This window comes from Homo sapiens, chromosome 8 (genome assembly GCF_000001405.40).
Source record: "Homo sapiens chromosome 8, GRCh38.p14 Primary Assembly".
Lineage (NCBI taxonomy): Eukaryota > Metazoa > Chordata > Mammalia > Primates > Hominidae > Homo > Homo sapiens.
The window spans coordinates 61,971,321-61,996,878 of NC_000008.11; the positions used below are offsets into that span (position 1 = coordinate 61,971,321).

Here is a 25,558-nt window from a genome sequence, read left to right on the forward strand (position 1 = left end):
GGCACAAAAAAAGACACAGCTCCATCCCCGATCTTGACTTCTCATAGGTTGTGCCAGGAAATGTAGAACATTCAGTATCTTGCATAAGGTTCTGTAAATTCCAGTTCAGCAGGGCATTTTTAAGAAAGAAATCTGACCAAAGTTGTTCAGGAAAAAGCAAGTCAACTTTAAAAGCCACCAGTTCCATTTGTACTTGATAAAGCTCTTGTATTTCTTCACCATAGTTTCCCTATATTCCTGAAGAATTTATAACAGCCTCTGTGGAACTGCCCATTACATATATTATATATGATATATAAAGCGCTGTTGTATTAAAGATATAAAAGGAGACAAAGGATCAGAACATTACTAAGTGTAATGAGATTCAGTTAGGTAGAAGGGCCAAGAATGAAGAAGTTAAAGTAAGACAAGATGTCCTGAGAAGTAAAACTGGGGAATAATTTGGTTTTGATTGGAAACATTCTTTCATTTGGGGTATTAAAAATTGTTGAACAAAAGCCTGAGACTCAGTTTGTATCTCCTTATTCATAATAGCAACACCAAGGGGTGGATTTGGGGAATTCTTTATACCCTCAGTAATTTCCATCAATATCCCCAGCTGCCTCACACAGAAAGAAAAAAATTTATAGATATATATATGATTTTATATACTTTAATGTTATTTATATGTTTATATTATATAAATTATAAGTGTATAATATAGATCATATTCTATAAATTATACATGAAGCAGTTTTAGGGAACCTTATTAATATATCCCAAATAAAAACTGCACATGTATTTCAGAAGTCACTTAGCATTTTCTTCCAAGCAGATCGTTTTGTGTTTAACTTTTACAGAAATTCTGGAATATCTCTTGATTCAATGACAAAAGTTACAAAAAGTGTTCTTTCTAATTGCTAGGATGTATTTGCATTTTGCCATCATTGGAAATATGCCCTTACCCAGAATTCATTCCAAAGTAAAGTCAGAGGTAAAAGCTTTTGTTCGTTGTTTTTCTTCTGAGCTATCAGAGTACTTACCATAAAAATCTCAAACTAAATGATGTAGTGCCATGTCTATTAGTAATCATGTGCCTGTCTTTTGCTTCCCTCCCTCTGAGTGTAGCATAAGGAAAATAGAAGTTCTCGGTGATGCTGGCAGAGTGAATAGATTACATCCATGTTATTATGAGAGTCTGGTAGGTATCAGAGTTTAGGCTGAGATGTTTTTGTTTGCAATGGAGGTAACGAATACTCCAACTGGGTTCTAATGCCATTGTGGCTAACATCAGAGAAGCTAGGCAAGTTGCCTAATTGAAATGTAACTGCCTCCTGGGCGAAATGAATGCCAAAAATAAAAGGGAAGAAATGAAGAAATGGCAAATGCTACAAGAGTGCTAAATACATTGTTCTGGGGAAATCTATGGCCACAGAAGCTTTTCCTGGATACATGTTTTCCAAGGCTTTCTTAGGTTTGCGTCCAGAGTTCCTTGTAAGCCAGATGAGGACGGAGAACATTCAGGGCAAATGTCTCCTACTGTTTTACTATTCCCATATCTAATTTTTACAAAAAATGTAGCCAAAGCCTATATTATCCTGTAAATCTCTTTATTAGGTTCTATCACCTGCAATATGGAGATAGCTCTTTGGGAGAAGGGACTGTATATAAATAACAATTTTGCATCAGCCTAGAGGGTACCTTGCATCGTGCACATAGTATTTAATAAATGGTGTTGGGTGTTTATGCCACTGATATATTTTTTTAAAACCAAGAGTAAAAGCAATAAGGATATGCCACATCTCTGTACTTAGGCTAATAGTCTGTCATGAAAAGAGCTTGTCAAGCCTAACTTTTAAAGGTAATAAAACCAAAATTGTAATTTTAAATGAGTTTTAATTTATAAATTACTAAAAAATTACTTAAGGTCACTTTTTAAAAATTCTGCCAAAAGGTCTCTGAAACATTTAATACTGGTACAAGGAAACTTAAATGTCAAAAGAAAAAAAAGTAGAGATGCCGCATGTACTACAAAGAATTTACAGATTCCACTGAGTGCTTATTTGTTGGTTCTACCAATTCTGAATAGAGAAATCACATAGTGACTCTCTGAGTGGTGGAAATGACTCTGTGAAGGGAGCCTTATCCTTATTTTATAAGTGATGCTACTCAGAAGTAAAGAGGCACACAAGTGAAGTTAAAATCTTATATACATACACACACATATATGCTTATGGGTAGAGTTGTTTCACTTACCTTGTTTGCCTAAGGAACTGTTTATGCACTCTCCCTTGGAACCATCTATGTGACATTTAGATAACTAGACTATCCATGAAGAAAGAAAAATAATTTGGATGTTAATAAAACTCTTCCATGAAGAACAAACCCTTTACCAGACAGGGGATGGCAGAGTCCTCCATCTGGAAACTTAAATACATCAGATAAAGGGCTCAGCTCTTTGATATCAAGCATAAGGAAAGGGTGTTATGTTTTACAGTTCACCGGAGGATTTAGCCTACCTCGATGAGAAGCTGAATAATCTCATATTTAACTGTGATCAAAATTATAAAAATGGAAAGGGATGGATAGTCATGGTCTCATTATTCTAGAACACAGCTAGACAGAATTGTGGGAGAAACATTAAGAATAGCAGAAAAGCTATGCTGTCTATTAGCATTCATCATATGGTATTTCCTTCTGACATTTCTAGTCTATGTTTCAAAGACATCGGTTCAGTCCTGCCCACATTGTGCTTGGGCTTTAACCCAGAGCCAGCTTCTGGTGCTTGCTCTTATTGGTGCTAAATTGACTCTGATATACTCTCTCATTAAGCCAGCCCTTATTTCATGACCATGACCATTGGCCAAGAGAAATAGGGGAAAATATGACGTGTTTAGGGATTACACCAGATCTGTGTATCAATCTTCACAAATACCAGTAGTCCACTGAAACTCAGCCTACTCTTGTGATTTTCACGAAGTTGCCCTGGTGATAATGCATCTGAAGTCAGGGAGGATCAGAGTCCGGGGACTTGCAGTGCCCTCTGCAAGCTGCATGCTCTTTATTGTGTGCCAGTTCTCAATTCCAGTCTGATGCCTGTTTTTTTCCATGTCTAACAACTTGCAAGTCTGGATGATATTGAAGAATAACTATTATCACAACTCTGTTTTCTGTAATTCCGTGGTGGTGGAGTTTCATTTACTCTGAGTCCGGAGGGAAAAGACTTAAATAAATCCAGATATAGTTCACATTTCTATGAAGAAAATATACTTTATCCCCAGTACCTTTCTAGTTTTATCTAACGAATGATAAAGATTTTTCAGGAAAAAGTGAGGTCAATTTTAGAAATTAGAATTAAGCCACCATCCCACCTACAAAGGACAATAATATTAATAGGCTTAAGAGGGAAAGCTATCAAAACCCAACATGGAGGGAATTCTGCCTTCCACCTGTAATATGTGCCTGCCAAATAATAATCCCCTCATCCAGGCACCAGGAAACTCTGGTTTGGAAGATAGGAGGATGGGAGTTAAATTTTTCTTAGTTAAAACTATGAAACAGTTTGTCTAAATTTCATGGCTACACTTAGAATCTCTAAGCCCAACTGGATCCTTTATCTTATTCTATCTCACTGGAGCCTTGCTTTCCAAGAAAGGGTTAAAACCTTCAAACATATGTTATTCATAATTAAAATACATTTAGTTTTTTTGGCTTGAGATAATTAGGTGTTTTTAACTGACTAATCATTCAATTGTCTCAGTCACATTGGAACTTTTCCTGACCAAACAATTGAAGATAAAGCCAAGCCACTATTTCAAACTCTCTCTTTCTTCTAATCCTTTTCCCTGCTATTTTTGATAATACTGTGCAAGATCATTAGATTTTATGCATTTACTTGATTTACTATCTGCCTTTCTTCAAAAGAATGCACGCTCCAGGAAGGAGTGTTTTTTTTTTTCTTTTGTGACCTGCTGTATCCACAGGATTTTGAAAAATGTCTATCAAATTGAGCCACTCATACATCTCTGTGGAATGAGTGAATGAATAAATGAACCAGAAGGTAAAATCATTTAGATTACAAATATTCTCTCAGTAATGCCAGGATGTCAAGACCATACCTAGCAATAATATTGAGTGAACTGTTAAGTTTGTCCTACTTAGTCCCTGAAAACAACCACCTCAGCCAGGTAGTTAACTTCACCTAGAATGGGGAGGAAGACAGAGATGTTGGTGGGGAAGATTCCCGTAAATTTTGGCTACATTTTGAAACTTACATAGGGTGGAATCACATGGCAGAGCTGGACCACAGAACTATGGTTTTATTTTTATTTTTTCTTCTATTTCAATATAGATAACAATAAGGTAATCAGACAAAGTACAGTGTACTGTTAAACAGTATATTGCCAAATATGCTGTACAATATATTGCTGTATATGCTGATAGGAAGAAATCCAATGCGAAACTGTATCATTACTAAACAAATGCAAAATCCTGAGCCTGCTTGACAGGGACACTAATTCTTTTTTAAAAGATTAAGATCTATGGAAACATAGATAATTAGAGCATCAAATTTATAAAGCACACATTCATTATGTTGTAGTTTTCCCCCTGAGTCTTTAGTCTAAATATAGATGTTGTCTTTTGGGCTGAATCACAAATTACAAAGCCTTAGCCCAGGGAAGACAGCAGAGGCTGAGTGAAAGCACATCACAGCCTTGACATAGATGGAGCACTCTGCCTCTCTGCGCCAAGCCTTTGTCTTTTTACTTATCTTACCTGGTAGTATGCAGTCATCCTTCTTCTTCAAGTAACCAGCCACAATCAGTGTGACCACGTATGGTATGTTAAACAATTGTCTTATTTTACATGGACACTCTGAATACATACTAGCTTACCAGAGCCTCATGCCATTCCTAATCCAAGAATGTAGATGACAAAGTGTGTCTGTTGGGGCTTATACAGTGCTTTTTAATGACAATATAATTACCCAGACATGTCAAGTATTGATATATTAATCCCCAGCTTCCTCACTGTAATCCGAGAGAACTAGGCAGTCATGATAGCACTTAGCAAGGACCTACATGCATGGAGTTTTGTGCACCTACACACGGCATTCATACTACAGCAATGGGTGCTGTTGGTGATGCAGAAGAGTACAGAGGTCTGGTTATTTTAGCTAAACTTTCTTCCCCATCTCCAACTAGACTTCAGAATCAGGCTTCATCATTGCAATGTCCTGGGAAAACAAACCATGAGATGACTGTTGGTCATTCACTTCAGTCCATCTCTGGGTTCTTTACATTGTGAAGTACATGATGAATAGAATCATCACTTTCTTTCTTTGTTCAACACACATCTATCACCCATCAATTGAATAGATACTATGCTTAAGATACAAATACAGGAAATATCCTGATCTCTACCCATAAGTAGCTGACTAATGAATTGGGAGAAAAGATGTATAAATATATCCCTTAATTTTAAGGAAGAAAGGGGGGGAAAAGACAAACATATCCTTGCAATACAAAAGACTACAATGTAACAGATAATTAAATATATCCTTATAGTGCAAGGCAATATGAGCAAGACAAGTGTTCTGGGTTAATGAGAGGGAACAACAAAGGCAATCTCATTCTCAAGGGAGAAATCAGTAATATTTTTAAAAGGATTTGCTGTTAAACTACCTATAAGGATAAATGGTATCTTCATAGGCAGATTAGAGAGTAATACATTTCAAACTGCAAAACACACACAAAAGCACAATCAGGTAAAAGTTTGGCATGTTTGTGGGGGGTGGTTATTAGGTGAGGATGAGGAGAATGTCAGGAACTGAATTTGGTCTATCATAGCAGTAGACCACACATGAAAAGAGTATCAGTTTTTCAAAAATGTTTAATGAGCACATACTCTACACCAGGCAGGGGATTTGTGCTTATCTGGTGCCCCACTATGTTTCACTTCTCTGTGGTAGACCTAACTTATGATACGATTATCATTTAAAAAGAAAAGATTAGCACAAAATAAAGGCACCAGTGATCACTATTTTCATTTAATGACATTTGGAAAGTTTGGGCCAGTACAATCAGAGGAGGAAAAAAAGCGGGAAATGTGAGATAAACAATAGGGAGGAAAATATATTAGTCTGCACTTCATTGTTCTAAAATAAGGTGTCAGTTCTCATCTCCAGAGCAACTACAAATGAAATGATGTGAAAATATAGTAAAATAAATAACAAAGGAATTAAAGTAGTTCACTAAAAAATATCTATTTAACCAAAAGAAGAGAAAAATGGAAAAACCAAGGAGAAAAAAAGATAAGACATATAGAAAAATGTATAGCAAAAGGCAGAAAGAAGTTCTTTATTAGTGATTACATTAGATATATATCAATTAATATTAGACTCTTTAATAGGCAGAGATTGGCAGAATGAATTACAAAACAATACCCAACTATATGCCGTCTGTAAGAGTCTAATTTTAGTTCAAAAACACAAAGAGATTGAAAGTCAAAGGATGGAAAAGGGTATTTCACACAAACAGTAACCAAAAAAAAAAAAAAAAAAAAAAAGAGATAGAGTTGCCAGGTGCAGTGGCTCATGCCTGTAATCCCAGCACTTTGGGAGGCCGAAGCAGGCAGATCACCTGAGGTCAGGAGTTTGAGACCAGCCTGGCTAACATGGTGAAACCCTGTCTCTACTAAAGATACAAAAATCAGCTGGGCATGGTGCTGGGTGCCTGTAATCCCAGTTACTTGGGAGGCTGAGGCAGGAGAATTGCTTCAAACTGGAAGGCGAAAGTTGAAGTTGCAGTGAGCCGAGACCATGCCATTGCACTCCAGCCTGGGCAACAACAGCTAAACTCCATCTAAAAAAAAAAGAAAGAAAGAAAGAAAAGAAATTGAGTGACTATACTAATGTCAGAAAAAGTAGACTTTAAGATAAAAATTGTTATGAGAGACAAAGTGACATTATGTAATGATAAAAGGATAATCCATCAAGAAGACATCACAAATATAAACATCTGCACTGAACATCAGAACCTCAAAATACATGAAGCAAAACTGACAGAATTGAAGAGATAAATGACAGTTCCAATGAGAGTTGGAAACTTTTGTACCCCATTTTCATTGATGTAAAGAACAACTAGACATAAGATCAACAAGAAAATAGGTTACTTGAATAGTATTGTATATCTGCTAGACCTAAACACATCTACAGATCACTTCAGAAAGGACAGCAGAATGTGTGTTCTAATAATATGCACATGAAACATTTTCTAGCACAGACCATATGTTCGGCCACAAAACAAATTAGGATAAACCTAAATAGATTTAAATCATTCAGAGTACGCTCTCCAATCACAAAGAACCTAAATTAAAAGGCAATAACAGAATGAAATTTGAAAAATTCACAAATATGCGAACATTACACCAAACTCCTAGGTAACCAGTGGGGCAAAGAAGAAATCACAAGGGAAATTAGAACATATTTTGAGATAAATGAAAATGACAACATAACATACTAAAACTTATAGAACACAGCAAAAGCAATGCTCAGCTGGACATTAAGAATTTTAAAAGCCTACCTTAAAAAATAAAAAAAATCTCAAACAACAACCTGTCTACCTTAAAACTAGAAAAAGAAGAGCAAACTAAATTCAAAGCAGCGAGATAGAAGAAAAATTAGCTCAAGATGACAGCATCAAGAAACAGAATAGATAACAGAAAATCAGAGAGAATAAAAAAAACCTAAAGTGGTTATCTGAGAAAGAAAAAGGGGGCCCCCCAAATGGTAGTCATGTCCCCTGTTTCACTCCTGATTGTAGTAATTTGAGATTTTTTTTTTTTTTTTGTCAATGTAGTTAATTGTTTGTCAGCTTTGTCCTTGGGTTGAGATCTAAGTATTTTGGTACCAGAGGAAATAATTGTTCTCCTCTCAAATAAAAGCTGATTCAGAAGCCTTGGTAAATATGCTTGGCACAGTGTGTCTTAAACAGTGCTAGTTTTTAAATAAAGGACTAGTTTTAAGAAAATTTTGCCAAATATGTTGTGGATCAGTACTTCTGTAAAGTAAAATAAAAGTAAATGAGTAGACAAATGAAATGGAAAGCATTGGAAATACCACCAAGTCTTTCATTATTATATCCAACAGACATAGAACTACTCTGTGAAATTGTTGTAAAATTTTCTAAACATTTACTCTCAATTTTTTTTAACCTCATTGTGGACTAGTGCACACACAGGCCAGAAGCCAGCACTTACAGTTGCACTGGTCTGGTAGCATTGCCATTTTTTTCTTTACAAATTCATATTTTTTCAATTATGTAATCAGAGCATAGATGAAATTGCCCTTTAGACTAATGCAGAACACAAATTTTAAGAGAACTATCCTTTATCCCTTCTCTGGAGTAAGGGAAGAGTTGAAGGCTTTGTTTCCAAAACTGAATATAAGACAATAATTAGAAAAAGAACTCGTTAAAAATAAAAAGTAGAGTTGGTGGCATTGTCAGTCTCATGAAAATAGTTTCAAATGTTTTACACTGAGCATATAATTAAAAGTTTATTGCCAATGATATTTTCTAATCACCTCACACTATGGTTGACTTAAAGTCTTTTCTATAAATCCAGTGCTTGGACTTCGTCAAAAAATAGCTTCTCTCCATTTCTTTCTTTTTTTCTCCCCTGTGAATGGCCTGTATTTTCCTATTTCTACACCTTGCATTTTTTTGTTGTTGTTGTTGAAAACTAGACATGTTGAATATCATAATGAGGTAACTCCGTAAATAAGATTTTCCCTTCCTTCAGGTTTGCTGTTGTTGATTGAGGGCTGAAGTCATCTATTTGTTTAGTGACTTTTGCAAACTATTTTTGCAAAAGCTGTATTCTTTGTCATGCGCAGTCACTGAAGCCTCTGTTCTGTGACCTCAGATGTCAGCCGGTAACCCAACAGCTGAAAGAGATTTTCTTAAGTGCCTGGAGGAAAACAAAACCAACCAACCAATCAGCCAGCCAACCAAAAGAAATCTGTCTCCCTGTCTGCAGATTGCTTCTGACTTGTGGCACTTCTTCAACCCTAATCCAGGCTACATACACCTCTGCTTTATGCTTCACCTCCTGCTTGCATGGAACTCACAGACTAGCCAGAGGTGCAAGCTGATGCTCTTCTCAGGTATTTTCTGAGCATACATCTGGCCCTATGTGCATTGCATTCTGGCTTCCCTGGTGTACATAGTAACCCTTCAAATACCTTATTCCCCCAAGAATTTTCCTCCTCAACCTCCTTCCCAGCCTGTTGAGTCTGTCTGATACTTGTCCAATCTGCCATTGTTTGCCCCAGGCAACTGTGGATGTTGCCATGTTTGGAAAGCTGCTCCAGCTGCTCCAGAGGATAAACTTTCCTTTGTCCCATTCAGGCTATGCTAATCCTTCAGGGAATATCCAGAAAGGTCAAAATTTACAACCAAAACTTTTGGAAAATAAGATCTACATTGCTCCCCTTCACCCCAGCAACTTTCACCAGTGATGTCAGCTGCTGTCCATCCAGCCACTCCTGAACTGGAGAATGATGGATGGTAGACAAGTAAGCAGAAATGCCACAGTGACACTCAGCAGTCTTTTTCTTTTTTTTTGTCTTTATTAAAAACTCACCTGTAAGTTTTTGTTTAGATTTAAGAGTTCGAGAAAAGTTGATTCTGTAAGATTTTCCAGCTTAATGGTTGGTTCAGTTAAGGCCCTGATTCTTCTAGTTTCCAACTCCACCATTTTCTATGACATCACCATTCAATTCAACAAAGGGAGAATAGACGTTTCAATAAGTGATGCTGGGGCATCTGGATATCCACATGCAAAAAATATGAAGTTGAACCTTATTTTACGCAAAATACAAAAATTGGCTCAAACTTGAAGGCCTCATGTAAGAACTAAAACTATACAATTCTTAGAAGGAAACATAGGAGTAAATCTTTGGGACCATAAATTTGGCATTGAGTTTTTAGCTTTGACACAGTAAGCACAAACAACAAAAGAAAAAGTATACAAATTGGGGCTTAAAAATATGAAATGCTTTTGTGTTTAAATGGGTGCTATCAGAAAAAAGAAAGACAACTCACAGAATGGGAGAAGATATTTTCAAATCAAGCATCTTATGAGGGACTTGTATGTAGAATATATAAAAACTCTTAGAAATCAGTAACAAAGACAAGTAACTATTAAAAATTGAGCTAATGATCTATATAGATAGTCTTCAAGGAAAATATACAAATGGCCAATAAGATATAAATGATGCATGAAAGATGCTCAATGCTTTTAGTCATTAGGAAAATGCAAATAAAAACCGCAAGATACCGTATTTTAATTTCCATTATAATTATAAGATGAGTATAATAATGACTATAATAAAAAGGTCCGAAATAGAAAATGTTGGTGAGAATGTGGAGAAATTGTAATTCTCACACATTGCTTGTGGAATATAAAATGATGGAGCCACTTTGAAAAACAGTCTGGCAGGTCCTCAGAAAGTTAGACGTACAGTTACCATTTTACACACCAATACCATAGGCATATACACACCACTCATAGTCATATACCCAACAGAATTGGAAGCATATGTCCACACAAAAACTTAGATGCAAATGTTTTTAGCAGCATTATCCATAGTAGCCAAAAGGTGAAACAACCTGAATTTCCATCAAGTAATTAAAAGATAAACAAAATGTGATTTTCTATACAATGAAATATCATTTGAACATAAATAAGAGTGATAAAGTTGAAATTGGCCCAATTTTCCCATAGAACTGAGACTTGAGAAATACACATTTGTTTTATGTAAGTTCCTTTCTCAAGAAACCGACCATCAGGGCTCCCAGACAGTAGCAATGAATTGAGCCTTCCCAGGTCACAACATCCGGACAATGAAATGCACCTGCTGCCTACTGACCAACTCCTCTTCTTACCTCTTCCTAATTCTTTGCTATATAAACCACTAACTTAAGTCAGTTTTGGAGATGTGTTTGAGACTGGTCTCCAGTCTCCCAGCTGACATCACCCGCATTAAAGCCTTTCTTCCTTGCCAATACTCATTGTCTCAGTGATTGGCTTTCTGTGAGGCGAGCAGCTGGACATAGGCCAAACCCCTGGCATTTGGCAACACAGTGATACATGCTACAATACAGATGAACCTTGAAAACATAATGTGAAGTGAAAGAAGCCAGTCACAAAGACTTCATATTATATGACTTCATGTATATAAAACGTCTGGAAAAGGCAAATCTCTAAAGACAAAGTCAATCAGTGTTTGCCAAGCCTCGATGAGAAGAGGGAATGTGGTACAGTGCAAGCTAAAGTTGTACAGGACTTTGTTTTATGACCAGGAAAATATTCAGATGGCTGCACAATTCTATGAATACACTAAAAACCAGTGAACTGTATACTTTAAGTGGGTGAATTGTACACTATATGAATTATATCTCAATAAAACTGTTACAAAAATATACTATAAGCCATTCAGTAAATTAGAAAACCATGAATTCATATTGATAGAAATGAAGGAATGGATCAATTCACAGTTTGATGAGGAACAGAACATTTCATAACCTCAAAGTACCTTCACAGATCCAATTTAGAAAACTCATCTCTAAGATTCTGTTCCTTGTAAATCACTTCCAGTATCCAAATCTCTACCAGTCAGATCAGGGTTCTCCAAAGAAACAGAACTAAAGGAATAGATATATAATTAATTGTTACTAATATATTATACACATGTATTAAGAGATTTATTTCAAGGAATTGGATCATTAGATTGTGTGGGCTGGGAAGTACAGAACACACAGGGAAGGTCAGTGGGATGGAAATTCAGGCAGGAGTCGATAAGTCCTGAGGCTGAATTTCTTCTTCCACAGTTTTGCTCTAAAAGGCTTTCTCCTGATTGAACGAGTCCAACCCACACTAGTGAGGTAATCTCCTTAAAGTCAACTGATTTTAGATGTTAACCACATCTATGAAATACCTTCACAGCAACACCTAGATTAGTATTTGATTAAATACCTGGGTACTATAGCCTAGCCACATTGACACATGAAACTAACCTACTACAAAATGCTTATTGATTATAGAGAAAGGAAGTTACTTTACAGTGGACCCTGGCAGATCTCACACCATCAGTAAAGGTGCACATAAAAAAACGTGTACCACCTGATAGAATACAATAACAAACATACTTAACATCATTTCTCTGATATCCCTGCCCAATATGAATAAACTAAAAATAATTAGATAAAGCATCAGTAAAACTCCTGTTGAAACAAATTCCACAAATAAATAGCTTTAAGCTTCAAAAGTGCCAAGGTCATGAAAGTGAAGTAATATGCCTAACTTTCCAATGGGACTTGGCAAGTCTATGTTTACAGTCTTGACAAATAGAGGAGGCATCATTGTGATTATGTAAGTAGACTCTGAGGAATCATATTCTTTCAGGACAACAGTTCAGATTTCTATATACAAAGAAGAGACAGATGATTGGCACTTGCAATTGGACTCTTTGAAGGTAGAGAATTCCTTCACCAAATGTCATTACGTAGGGTGGGCTGTGGGTCACTACCAGATGCTCTTTGAAGTGTCTTTCCATTCGTATGTAGCACAAATGCTACTCATTCATGGCTCCATAATTATTGACTTCATATCTTGTTCTATTACTTGTGACATGCTCATAAGATGTATTTCCTAAATATTAAAGATTTAAGTTGTGCAAGTTTGAAACTTTAGTAGAACAAATTCAAAATTGTACCTATGAAGCAATTGTGCTTCTATGTCCTCTCTGGATTTACAAAGGACATGATGTTGACATGCCAGGGGTGATCGCAGGTGTGGGAACCCAAATGTTGAATTGTGTTACATGTAAAGATCATCTTCCATGTGTATTGCTATAGGGACCTATACATGTTGATAACTTACCTAACAAAAGATAAATTTACCTAAAATATCTTGAAATTGGCTACTCACTCAGGTTAAATTGAATGGTAAACAGATTACATTATTAGTAGACAAATTATGGGCTGAACAAATAAATGAGAACAAATGCTTTTGTAATGACTTACATGCCACAAGACTATGGGAACACTGTAAGTTGAAAAGCTTCTGATGTAAATAACTCAGGCTAGTTCCAGTGCCTATTATATTCTCAAAAAGAGCAAGAAACTGATGTGCAAAACAGAACATAAAGAGATGCTCGCCCCGTGGCATGCCTTCACAGGTTTACCAGGATTCTTCTGATATTACCTTCTCCTCCAGTTATGAAACTGCCTCTTCGTCTGCTTCATCCTCCTCTACCTTCTCCCATTCCTCAAACACTTTCCACGTGATACTTTGAGGTTGAAATTAAGTATTAGTATTGGAAACTGTAAATAATCCTAGAGCTGACCTACTTAAATCTCAGGAGAGCTGTGGTCCAAGCATGTTAGGCTGTTTCCAAATCCCAAAGCTAGTAAGCATTGAGATTAAGAATATCAGTTCCTGACTGCTAGAAATTATGGAGTAAATAATGAGATACTACAACCCAGGTACAAACTTAAGATGATCCTTTTTGTGCATAATTCAGCCATGCTATAGATTATTTCCAATCATTTGCAAAGGATAATTATTCATAAATGTGGTCCATGGGCACCCCCCTCTGCAATTAATTTAACATGAGTGTGTCCCTGGCCTCAGAAGCTCTCTGCTGGTCATTTAAATGGGGTGTTTGTATGCCCCTCAAAGATAGACGTATAATTTAATGTGTATTAAATATGAGTACAATTGTTTCTACGAAAAGAATTTCCCTACTAGCTGAGTTTTCCCATTTTTATAGTGAAGATACTACTCAGTTTATCAGCACATTTTCAAGCAAAAAAAATCAACAAATTCTATAACATTAGTCATGTAATCACACAAACTATTTGCTTTCCTAACAATATTTTAAAACAGCTGGTAGTGTGGCCTCTCTACCCATGGGTTATCCTAGAATCATAGAGCAGGAAGAGACCCTGAGAGAAGATTGGTGCAATCCCCCATCCCTCAGGAAGGGCTGCAACTAAATCATCCCAGACAGAAGCACATTTCCCCTAATTTTGATGAGCTCCAGAGACAGAGCTCTTGAGACTTCCTATTCTGAATAGAGAGAAATCCTTTCTTACAGCTAAACAATCTCTCTCATTAGAGCCAAACTCCATTTATCTGCGTCTGGCTATTGTTTGCATTAGAGAAGGACTCCTCCAACCATGTTTATGTCATGTACTCTTTCCACATGAACTTACGTATTTTTTAATTAAGTATTTTAAGAGACAGGACGTTGCTATCTTGACCAGGCTGTTCCTGAACTTTTGGCTTCAAACTCTCTGCCCACGTCAGTCTCCCGAGTAGCTGGGATTATAGGTGGCTGGTTCTACAAGAATTTGAATCAATTTTGTCCTCATGGATGTTGTTTCCAAAACTTTAAAAACACCTTTAAACACTTTTAAACCTCTGTGATGACCCTCTCATCTTTCTAGAATGTATCTCCACTCCTCTTCAGTTCCATAATCTAGAAATATATATCATTTTCCAGTAGGGTTCTAACCAGTGATGGGGAGGGTGAAGATCTACATCTTAGATGACATTTTTTTCTCCACGTACGCATTTTTTGTTTTCATATGGGTTGGTCATATATAGAATATTTGAAAGGTGTGTTCTTGAAACTTTGTAATACAAATTCTTGAGATTTAAGACATGTCTATGCTCATTTTCTACCTTCTTAGCACATTAGCAATGTATGAGCCCCGTGTGTACATTTTCACTACTGATTATATTACCTGATGAACATTTTTTATTATGTAAGTGATAAAAACATTTCTACATATAAACTTGGCAGTGTAAAGATGCCACGCAATGAAAATTACCCAAACATCAGCAGCACCCAAAGCAGCACCATCAGCAGCTTTTTACAAATCGAAGGTAGTGGGACAGCTAATGTATATGAATAAGCTAATTTAAATTTCTTCCCTTTTGTTGTGATAAAATGTACATAACATAAAATTTATTACTCTAATCATTTAAGTTTATAGTTCAGTGGCATTAATTACATTCGCATTGTTGTGCAACCATCTCCACAATGTATATTTGGAACTTTTTCATCATCCCACACTGAAACTCTGAACCCATTAAACAGTAACTCCTCATTTCCTCTCTCCTAGTTTCTGATAACCACTATTCTACTTTTTGTTTCTATGTATTTCACTATTCTAGGTACCTCATCTAAACAGAATCATATACTATTTGTTCTCTTTGGTCTGTCTTATTTCACTCAGCATAATGTCTTCAAGGTTTCTCCTTTATCTTTTGTTCCAGATTTGAAAATGGTACACCAGGAGATGCAATGTGAATAAAAGAATACTGAAAAAGGAATTTTTGAATTCCTCAGGATATATAGCTAGTCTGGGAAGGTTTCCAGAATTAGGCCTATCTGCAGAGAGCTATGCTAATTATGACATAAAAGAACAGGTCTGTGACTTGTGTCTTGAGATTCAAAGGCTAAATTCATATCAAGTTTCTGACTAATTGAAAGCTCAGACAGTAATTTTGGAAACAGCTGCCTGGAAATGAAAATATTAAATTCAGAATAATCTTGAAAAGTTTTTTTTTTTAAGTTACAGATCGTGGGTTAGACCTGAAAATAGGCCCATTATCAGAATCCCACACAGGCAGGTGGAAGCTGATCAGTCAGAGATACCCACAGCAATGTGGAGTTTTTCATGCCTTCCATGAAGACATTCACTTCCATCACCAAGTGTAGAAGATTTCTGTTTGTCTCCTTGGACATCTCCTTGAGAGTGTCCTTTCATGACACCAGGCACATGCTAGGTGGCTCCCTCTAGGGTGACATGCATGAATCATAGGTGTGTTCGTATAGATTCTAATCTGCAGAGAAAATAAAATGTGGAGTGACAGGTGGCTCCTTGTTGATGTGAATATTTTTGTTTTGTTTTGTTTTTCATGATGACACCTTTCTAAGAATCTGAACATTGAATCTGACCCTTCTGAGAGGACACTACACCACTAGAGGGAATCAAACAGAAGATACAAAATTTCTGCTCTCAGTTCTGTAAGTGAATCATCTAGAGAACTTCAGCAAGTCAGCTTACCTCTTTGTCTCTTCCTAGACATTTTGTAATGCTAGCGATGTTTTACTTTTTCTGTCTGTAATGTGTTAACACTGCAGCAGCCTTAACTACAAGGGTATTGGAACCTCTTCAAGGGAAGTAATGTTGAATTCAACTTATTTTTTTCATGCAAAAATCCTAGTGTGTATATGTTCTATTCAGGAATGATGGTCTACGTGAAGTATTATGACTGAGACTCTAAGAGGAACACTTTCCACGTGATACTTTGAGGTTGAAATTAAGTATTAGTATTGGAAACTGTAAATAATCCTAGAGCTGACCTACTTAAATCTCAGGAGAGCTGTGGTCCAAGCATGTTAGGCTGTTTCCAAATCCCAAAGCTAGTAAGCATTGAGATTAAGAATATCAGTTCCTGACTGCTAGAAAAGTTAAAAGGCAATTTTTAAAGTTAGTCTGCCTATGAATATAGTAGTAGCTTGTGCTATTAATATAAGTAGCTAGTGCTACTACAAATAATGTATTTAAAGTGGTAACTCACGGAATAGAGCTGAGAATAAGCCAATAATCAGAATTAAACACAGGTTAGGGAAACATTACCTGAGGTTATAAAGGTGAAGTTTCACGAATAACTCAAAAGCATGGCTAAAACTGTTTAATGTTTAATTTTCTCTTTCTGCTTTTTTTTTCTTCTTCTCTTTTTTAGACAGAGTCTCTCTCTGTCACCAGGCTGGAGCGCAATGGTGCAATCTCAGCTCACTGCAACCTCCTCCTCCTGGGTTCAAGCTATTCTCCTGCCTCAGCCTCCCAAGTAACTGGGATTACAGGCACGTGCCACCCCGCCTGGCTAGTTTTTTTTGTATTTTTAGTGAAGACGGGGTTTCACTGTGTCAGCCAGGATGGTCTCGATCTCCTGACCTCGTGAACCACCCACCTCATCCTCCCAAAGTGCTGGGATTACAGGCATGAGCCACCGCGCCCAGTCCTCTCTTTCTGCTTTTAATTGTGAACATTGTATAGTGACTTTTTAAAAAGTAGATTAAATTCATGTGTACTGAAATGTACAGATTTTTAGCATACAATTTGATGTTTTGATGAATTTACACACCAGGGTAACCACTATTCCTGTGAGGATGGAATATTTTCATCACCTCAGAATGTTCCTTCATGCTGTCTTGCCATTAAGTCCCTATTCCCTTTAGGCAAAAACTTCTAATTTTCATCTTCATAAGTTAATTCATTTTACCTGTTCTTGAGTCATACATAAATGAAATCATACAGTATGAATTTTACATCTGTTTGTTTCATACAACATAAGATTTTGGGGGTTTATCCTGTTGCAACATTGCTATGGTTTGAATGGGTCCCCTCCAAAATGCAAGTGTTGAAACAATGGTTGTTGTCATAGTATTAAGAGATGGGGCCTTTAGGAGGTAATTCGGTCATGAGGTTAATTCCTTATAAGGACTATAAGGGTCCTTATAAAAAAGGCTTCACACGGTATTTCTTTGGTGCTCTTACCCTTTTGCCTTTCATCACGTGAGTACACGGTGTTCTTTCCTCCAACTGTGAAGCAGAGAGCAGCCCGTGCCAGAAAACTAAAGCTGCCAGTGCCTTGTCCTCGGATGCCCAGCCTCCAGAACAGTGAGAGATACATTTCTGTTCTTTATAAATTACCTGGTGTCAGGTATTTTGTTATAGCAGCCTGAGTGGACTCAGACAAATGTATATTATATAGTTCATTATTTCTTACTGAATAGATTTCAGTGTGTGAATCTGTCTTCTCCATTCTCAAGATAATTGACTTTTGCTTCCTATATAAGTCTAGGATCTATATCAGACTTTAAAAACTTTGATATGATTTTAAATGTATAGAAACCTGGAATATAGCACAAAGAAATCTCATATTTTTAAATCAAATTCAGCAATTGTAGAGAAAAGGGGACTCTTGCACACTCTTGGTGGGAAGGTAAAAACTAGCACAGTCATTATGGAAAACAGTATGGAGGTTCCTCAAAATATGAAAAATAGAACTATCATATGATCCAGAAATCCCATTCATGAGTGCATCTGTAAAGGAAATGAAATTAGTATGTTGGAGAGATATCTGCTCTCCCATGTTCATTGCAGCACTCTTCACAGTAACCAGAATATGGAATCAACCTAAATGTTCATCAATGGATGAAAGGATAAAGAAAATGTGTTATATATACACAGAGGAATACTAATCAGCCTTTAAAAAAAGGCTTGTCATTTGAGACAAGATGGATGAACCTGGAGGACATCATGTTAATAAAATAAGCCATCATGTTAATGAAATAAGCCAGGCATACAAAGATCTCACTTAAATGTAGAATCTAACAAAGTGGATCTCATAGAAGCATAGAGTACAAAGATGGTGATCAGGGGTTGGGAGTGGGGAAGTTGGGGAGAGGTTGGTCAAAGGGTATGAAATTCCAGTTAGATAGGAGGAATAAGGTCAAGAGATTATTGTACAACACGGTGACTATAGCTAATAACAACATATTGTATTCTTGAAAATCTCTAAGCGAGTAGATTTTAAGTATTGTCCCCTCAAAAAATGGTAACTATGTGAGGTAATACGCATGTTAATTTGCTTGATTTAGCCATTCTATGATTTATACATATTTCAAAATATGCCGTACACAATAAATACGTACAATTTTTGTCAATTAAAAATAATCAATTTAGGAAATTCAACAATTGTTTGTATTTTGTTTTATTTGTTTTAATGTTTTCTGTCTTCTCTGCATATATACATGTACATATGTATGTGTGTATCAAGGATAGAAACTATTTGTACATACATTTATACAAATATAGTATTTGTGTACAAATACATGTATAAACATATGTGCATACATTTATAAACACATATTTATAGGCTTAAAGATTTTTAAAAATCTATAAGTTTGTAATCTTAAAGTCTTTAAGCCTATCTGTCTGTGGAAATGTATGTGCACACAAAAATAGGATGAAATGTATGTATGCACATATATGCATATGTTTATACATATCTTAGGATTTTTAAGAGAAACAGAACCAATAGAATATATATAGATATACAAGAGAAGTTTGATTATGAGAATTGGCCCATGCAACTATAGAGGCCAAGAAGTCTTACATGATAAATTGTATTTCATAATTTAAAGCTTTTTCTCATTAAAGGCACTATTAATAAAAGGAAATAAAAGCCACAAATGGGAGAAAATATTTGCAAAAGAGTATAGGTGATAATAAACTTGTATCTACAATAAACAAAGAACATGAAATTCTTGCAAATCAATAATAGAAGACAAAACGCACAATTAAGAAAATAGGTTAAAGGTTTGGACAGACACTCCACCAAAAAGGATGCAGGAATGGCAAATAAGTGAATAAAAAGTTTGCTCAGTATTTTCAGTCATTAGGAAAATCATTATTATTCCTATGCCAGCTTTATAAGATAAACTTCATGTGCTATAAAATTCACCTAAAGTGTACAGTTTAGTGGTTTTTAGTATACTCACTGGGTTGTGCAACCATCACCACAGTCTATTTGGCAACATTTTTACCGCCTCAAAAAGCAAGCCAGTACTGTTTAGTTACTATTTCTATTCTCCCAACCTCTCCAGACAGAAGTAATCATTCATCTATTTTCTGTCTCTATTGATTTGCCTATTCTAAATATGTCATATAGTAAATCATATAATATGTGGTCTTTCATTAGTGGCTTATTTCACTTGGCATGATGTTTCCAGGGTTCATCCATGTTGTAGCAAATTACCCCCATTGTATAGATATGCCACCTTTTATTTATCAATTAATCAGTTGGTGAACATTTGGGTTGTTTCCACCATTTGGCTATTATGAATAATGTGGTTATGAACAGTTGTGTACAAGTGTTTGTGTAGACATATATTATTTTCTCTTGAATATACACATAAAAGTGGGAATGCTTGGTCATAGGGTAATTCTATGTTTACTATTTGAGAAATTACCAGAGTATTTTTCTAAGTGTCTGCATCATTTTACATTCAGGCCCACAAAGTAAAACACTTCTGATATTCCACATACTCAACATTTGTAATCATCTGTCTTTTTTTGTGCAGAACGTGCAGGTTTGTTACATAGGTATACACATGTCATGGTGGTTTGCTGCACCCATCAACCTGTCATCCATATTAGGTATTTCTCCTAATGCTATCCTTCCCCTAGCCCTCCACTCCCCGACAGGCCCTGTTGTGTGATATTCCTCTCCCTGTGTCCATGTGTTCTCATTGTTCAACTCCCACTTATGAGTGAGAACATGTGGTGTTTTCCTGTGTTAGTTTGCTGAGAATGATGGTTTCCAGCTTCATCCATATCCCTGCAAAGGACATGCACTCATCATTTTTCATGGCTGCATACTATTCCATGGTGTATATGTGCCACATTTTCTTTATCCAGTCTATCATTGATGGACATTCAGGTTGGTTCCAAGTCTTTGCTATTGTGAATAGTGCTGGAATAAACATACGTGTGCATGTGTCTTTATAGTAGAATGATTTATAATCCTTTGGGTACATACCCTGTTATGGGATTCCGGGACCAGACAGATTCATAGACGAATTCTACCAGAGATACAAAGAGGAGCTGGTACCATTTCTTCTGAAATGATTCCAAACAATAGAAAAACAGGAAATCCTTCCTAACTCATTTTATGAGGACGGCATCATCCTGATACCAAAACCTGGCAGAGACACAACAAAAAAGAAAATTTCAGGCCAATATCCCTGATGAACATCGATGTGAAAATCCTCAATAAAATACTGGCAAACCGAATCCAGCAGCACATCAAAATCCTTATCAACCACGATCAAGTTGGCTTCATACCTGGGATGCAAAGCTGGTTCAACAGACACATATCAATAAACATAATCCATCAAATAAACAGAACCAATGACAAAAACCACATGATTATCTCAACAGACATAGAAAAGCCTTCAATAAAATTCAACACCCTTTCATGCTAAAAAACTCTCAATAAACTAGGTATTGATGGAATGTATCTCAAAACATTAAGAGCTATTTATGACAAACCCACAGCCAATATCATACTAAATGGGCAAAAGCTGGAAACATTCCCTTTGAAAACCGGCACAAGACAAGGATGCCCTCTCTCACCACTCCTATTCAACATAGTATGGGAAGTTCTAGTTAGGGCAATCAGGGAAGAGGAAGAAACAAAGGGTATTCAAACAGGAAGAGAGGAAGTCAAATTGTCTCTGTTTGCAGATGACATGATTGGATATTTAGAAAACCCCATTGTCTCAGCCCAAAATCTTCTTAAGCTGGTAAGAAATTTCAGCAAAGTCTCAGGATACAAAATCAATGTGCAAAAATCACAAGCATTTTTATACACCAATAATAGACAAACAGAGAGCCAAACCATGAATGAACTCCCATTCACAACTGCTACCAAGAATAAAATACCTAAAAATACAACTTACAAGGGATGTGAAGGACCTCTTCAAGGAGAACTACAAACCACTGCTCAATGAAATAAGAGAGGATACAAATGGAAAAACAATCCATGCTCATGGATAGGAAGAATCAATATCATGAAAATGGACAAAGTAATTTATAGATTCAATGGCATTCCCATCAAGCTACCATTGACTTTCTTCACAGAACTAGAAAAAACTACTTTAAATTTCATATGGAATCAAAAAGAGCTCACATAGCCAAGATAACCCTAAGCAAAAAGAACAAAGCTGGAGGCATCATTCCATGTGACTTCAACCTATACTACAAGGCTACAGTAACCAAAACAGCATGGTATTGGTACCAAAACAGCATGGTATTGGTACCAAAACAGATATATAGATGAGTGGAAGAGAACAGTGCCTCATAAATAATGCCATACATGTACAACCATCTGATCTTTGACAAACCTGACAAAAACAAGCAATGGGGAAAGGATTCCCTATTTAATAAATGGTGTTGGGAAAACTGGCTAGCCATATGCAGGAAACAGAAACTGGACCCCCTCCTTACACCTTACACAAAAATTCTCAAGATGAATTAAAGACTTAAATGTAAGACCTAAAACAGTAAAAACCCTGGAAGAAAACATAGGCAATACCATTCAGGACATAGGCATGGGCAAAGACTTCATGACTAAAACACCAAAAGCAAGGGCAACAAAAGCCAAAATTGACAAATGGGTTATAATTAAACTAAAGAGTTTCTGCATAGCAAAAGAAACTATCATCAGACTGAACAGGCAACATACAGAATGAGAGAAAATGTTTGCAATCTATCTATCTGACAAGGTCTAATATCCAGAATCTACAAGGAACATAAACAAATTTACAAGAAACAAACAAACAACCCCATCAAAAAATGGGTGAAGGATATGAACAGACACTTCTCAAAAGAAGATATTTATGAAGCCAACAAACATATGAAAAAAGCTCATCATCACTGGTCATTAGAGAAATGCAAATCAAAACCACGATGAGATGCCATCTCACACCAGTTAGAATGGCAATCAGTAAAAAGTCAGGAAACAACAGATGCTGGCAAGGATGTGGAGAAATCGGAATGCTTTTACACTGTTGGTGGGAATGTAAATTAGTTCAACCATAGTGGAAGACAGTGTGGCGATTCCTCAAGGATCTAGAACCAGAAATATCACGTCTTTTTGATTGTCGTCATCCTAGTGCTTCTGAATTGGTGTTTCATTGATGTCTTGATTTGCATTTGCATTCATAAGAATTCTTTATATATCCTAGATACAAGTCCCCCATCAGATACATGATTTACAAATATTTTCTCCTATATTGTCGGTTATGTTTTCAAGTTTTTGATAGTATCACTTGAAGAAAAAAAGTTTTAGGGGAGCAGCCAAGATGGCCGAATAGGAACAGCTCCAGTCTACAGCTCCCAGCGTGAGCAATGCAGAAGACGGGTGATTTCTGCATTTCCATCTGAGGTACCAGGTTCATCTCACTAGGAGTGCCAGACAGTGGGCACAGGTCAGTGGGTGTGCGCAGCACTGCGTGAGCCGAAGCAGAGAGAGGCATTGCCTCACTCAGGAAGCACAAGGGGTCAGGGAGTTCCCTTTCCTAGTCAAAGAAAGGGGTGACGGACAGCACCTGGAAAATCGGGTCACTCCCACCCGAATGCTGCACTTTTCCCATGGGCTTAAAAAACGGCGCACCACGAGATTATATCCCACACCTGGCTCGGAAGGTCCTACACCCACGGAGTCTCGCTGATTGCTAGCACAGCAGTCTGTGATCAAACTGCAAGGCGGCAGCGAGGCTGGACGAGGGGCGCCCACCATTGCCCAGGCTTGCTTAGGTAAACACAGCAGCCGGGAAGCTCTAGCTGGGTGGAGCCCACCACAGCTCAAGGAGGCCTGCCTGCCTCTGTAGGCTCCACCACTGAGGGCAGGGCACAGACAAACAAAAAGACAGCAGTAACCTCTGCAGACTTAAATGTCCCTGTCTGACAGCTTTGAAGAGATCACTGGTTCTCCCAGCATGCAGCTGGAGATCTGAGAAGGGGCAGACTGCCTCCTCAAGTGGGTGCCTGACCCCTGACCCCCTAGCAGCCTAACTGGGAGGCACCCCCCAACAGGGGCACACTGACACCTCACACGGCAGGGTACTCCAACAGACCTGCAGCTGAGGGTCCTCTCTGTTAGAAGGAAAACTAACAAACAGAAAGAACATCCACACCAAAAACCCATCTGTACATCACCATCATCAAAGACCAAAAGTAGATAAAACCACAAAGATGGGGGAAAAACAGAATAGAAAAACTGGAAACTCTAAAAAGCAAAGCGCCTTTCCTCCTCCAAAGGAACGCAGCTCCTCACCAGCAACGGAACAAAGCTGGATGGAGAATGACTTCGACGAGCTGAGAGAAGAAGGTTTCAGATGATCAAATTACTCTGAGCTACGGGAGGACATTCAAACCAAAGGCAAAGAAGTTGAAAACTTTGAAAAAAATTTAAAGAATATATAACTAGAATAACCAATAGAGATAAGTGCTTAAAGGAGCTGATGGAGCTGAAAACCAAGGCTCGAGAACTACGTAAAGAATGCAGAGGCCTCAGGAGCCGATGCAATCAACTGGAAGAAAGGGTATCAGTGATGGAAGATGAAATGAATGAAATGAAGCGAGAAGGGAAGTTTAGAGAAAAAAGAATAAAAAGAAATGAGCAAAGCCTCCAAGAAATATGGGACTATGTGAAAAGACCAAATCTACGTCTGATTGGTGTACCTAAAAGTGACGGGGAGAATGGAACCAAGTTGGAAAACAGTCTGCAGGATATTATCCAGGAGAACTTCCCCAATCTAGCAAGGCAGGCCAATGTTCAGATTCAGGAAATACAGAGAACGCCACAAAGATACTCCTTGAGAAGAGCAACTCCAAGACACGTAATTATCAGATTCACCAAAGTTGAAATGAAGGAAAAAATGTTAAGGGCAGCCAGAGAGAAAGGTCGGGTTACCCTCAAAGGGAAACCCATCAGACTAACATCGGATCTCTCAGCAGAAACCCTACAAGCCAGAAGACAGTAGGGGCCAATATTCAACATTCTTAAGGAAAAGAATTTTCAACCCAGAATTTCATATCCAGCCAAACTAAGCTTCATAAGTGAAGGAGAAATAAAATACTTTACAGACAAGCAAATGCTGAGAGATTTTGTCACCACCAGGCCTGCCCTAAAAGAGCTCCTGAAGGAAGTGCTAAACATGGAAAGGAACAACAGGTACCAGCCGCTGCAAAATCATGCCAAAATGTAAAGACCATCGAGACTAGGAAGAAACTGCATCAACTAACAAGCAAAATAACCAGCTAACATCATAATGACAGGATCAAATTCACACATAACAATATTAACTTTAAAAGTAAATGGACTAAATGCTCCAATTAAAAGACACAGACTGGCAAATTGGATAAAGAGTCAAGACCCATCAGTGTGCTGTATTCAGGAAACCCATCTCATGTGCAGAGACACACATAGGCTCAAAATAAAAGGATGGAGGAAAATCTACCAAGCAAATGGAAAATGAAAAAAGGCAGGGGTTGCAATCCTAGTCTCTGATAAGACAGACTTTAAACCAACAAAGATCAAAAGAGACAAAGAAGGCCATTACATAATGGTGAAGGGATCAATTCAACAAGAAGAGCTAACTATCCTAAATATATATGCACCCAACACAGGAGCACCCAGATTCATAAAGCAAGTCCTGAGTGACCTACAAAGAGACTTAGGCTCCCACAGATTAATAATGGGAGACTTTAACACCCCACTGTCAACATTAGACAGATCAACGAGACAGAAAGTCAACAAGGATACCCAGGAATTGAACTCAGCTCTGCACCAAGTGGACCTAATAGACATCTACAGAACTCTCCACCCCAAATCAACAGAATATACATTTTTTTTCAGCACC

At 37.2% G+C, this 25,558-nt stretch overlaps 2 annotated features.

Moving 5' to 3' along the window:
* Positions 8,657–9,199: an enhancer, noted in NCBI's record as "OCT4 hESC enhancer chr8:62892536-62893078 (GRCh37/hg19 assembly coordinates)". NCBI's record gives its function as "activates a minimal SCP1, AML or CMV promoter by ChIP-STARR-seq in primed H9 embryonic stem cells {active_cell/tissue: H9 hESC(primed)}" and the evidence as "EXISTENCE:reporter gene assay evidence [ECO:0000049][PMID:30033119]".
* Positions 22,864–23,365: an enhancer, noted in NCBI's record as "H3K4me1 hESC enhancer chr8:62906743-62907244 (GRCh37/hg19 assembly coordinates)". NCBI's record gives its function as "activates a minimal SCP1, AML or CMV promoter by ChIP-STARR-seq in primed H9 embryonic stem cells {active_cell/tissue: H9 hESC(primed)}" and the evidence as "EXISTENCE:reporter gene assay evidence [ECO:0000049][PMID:30033119]".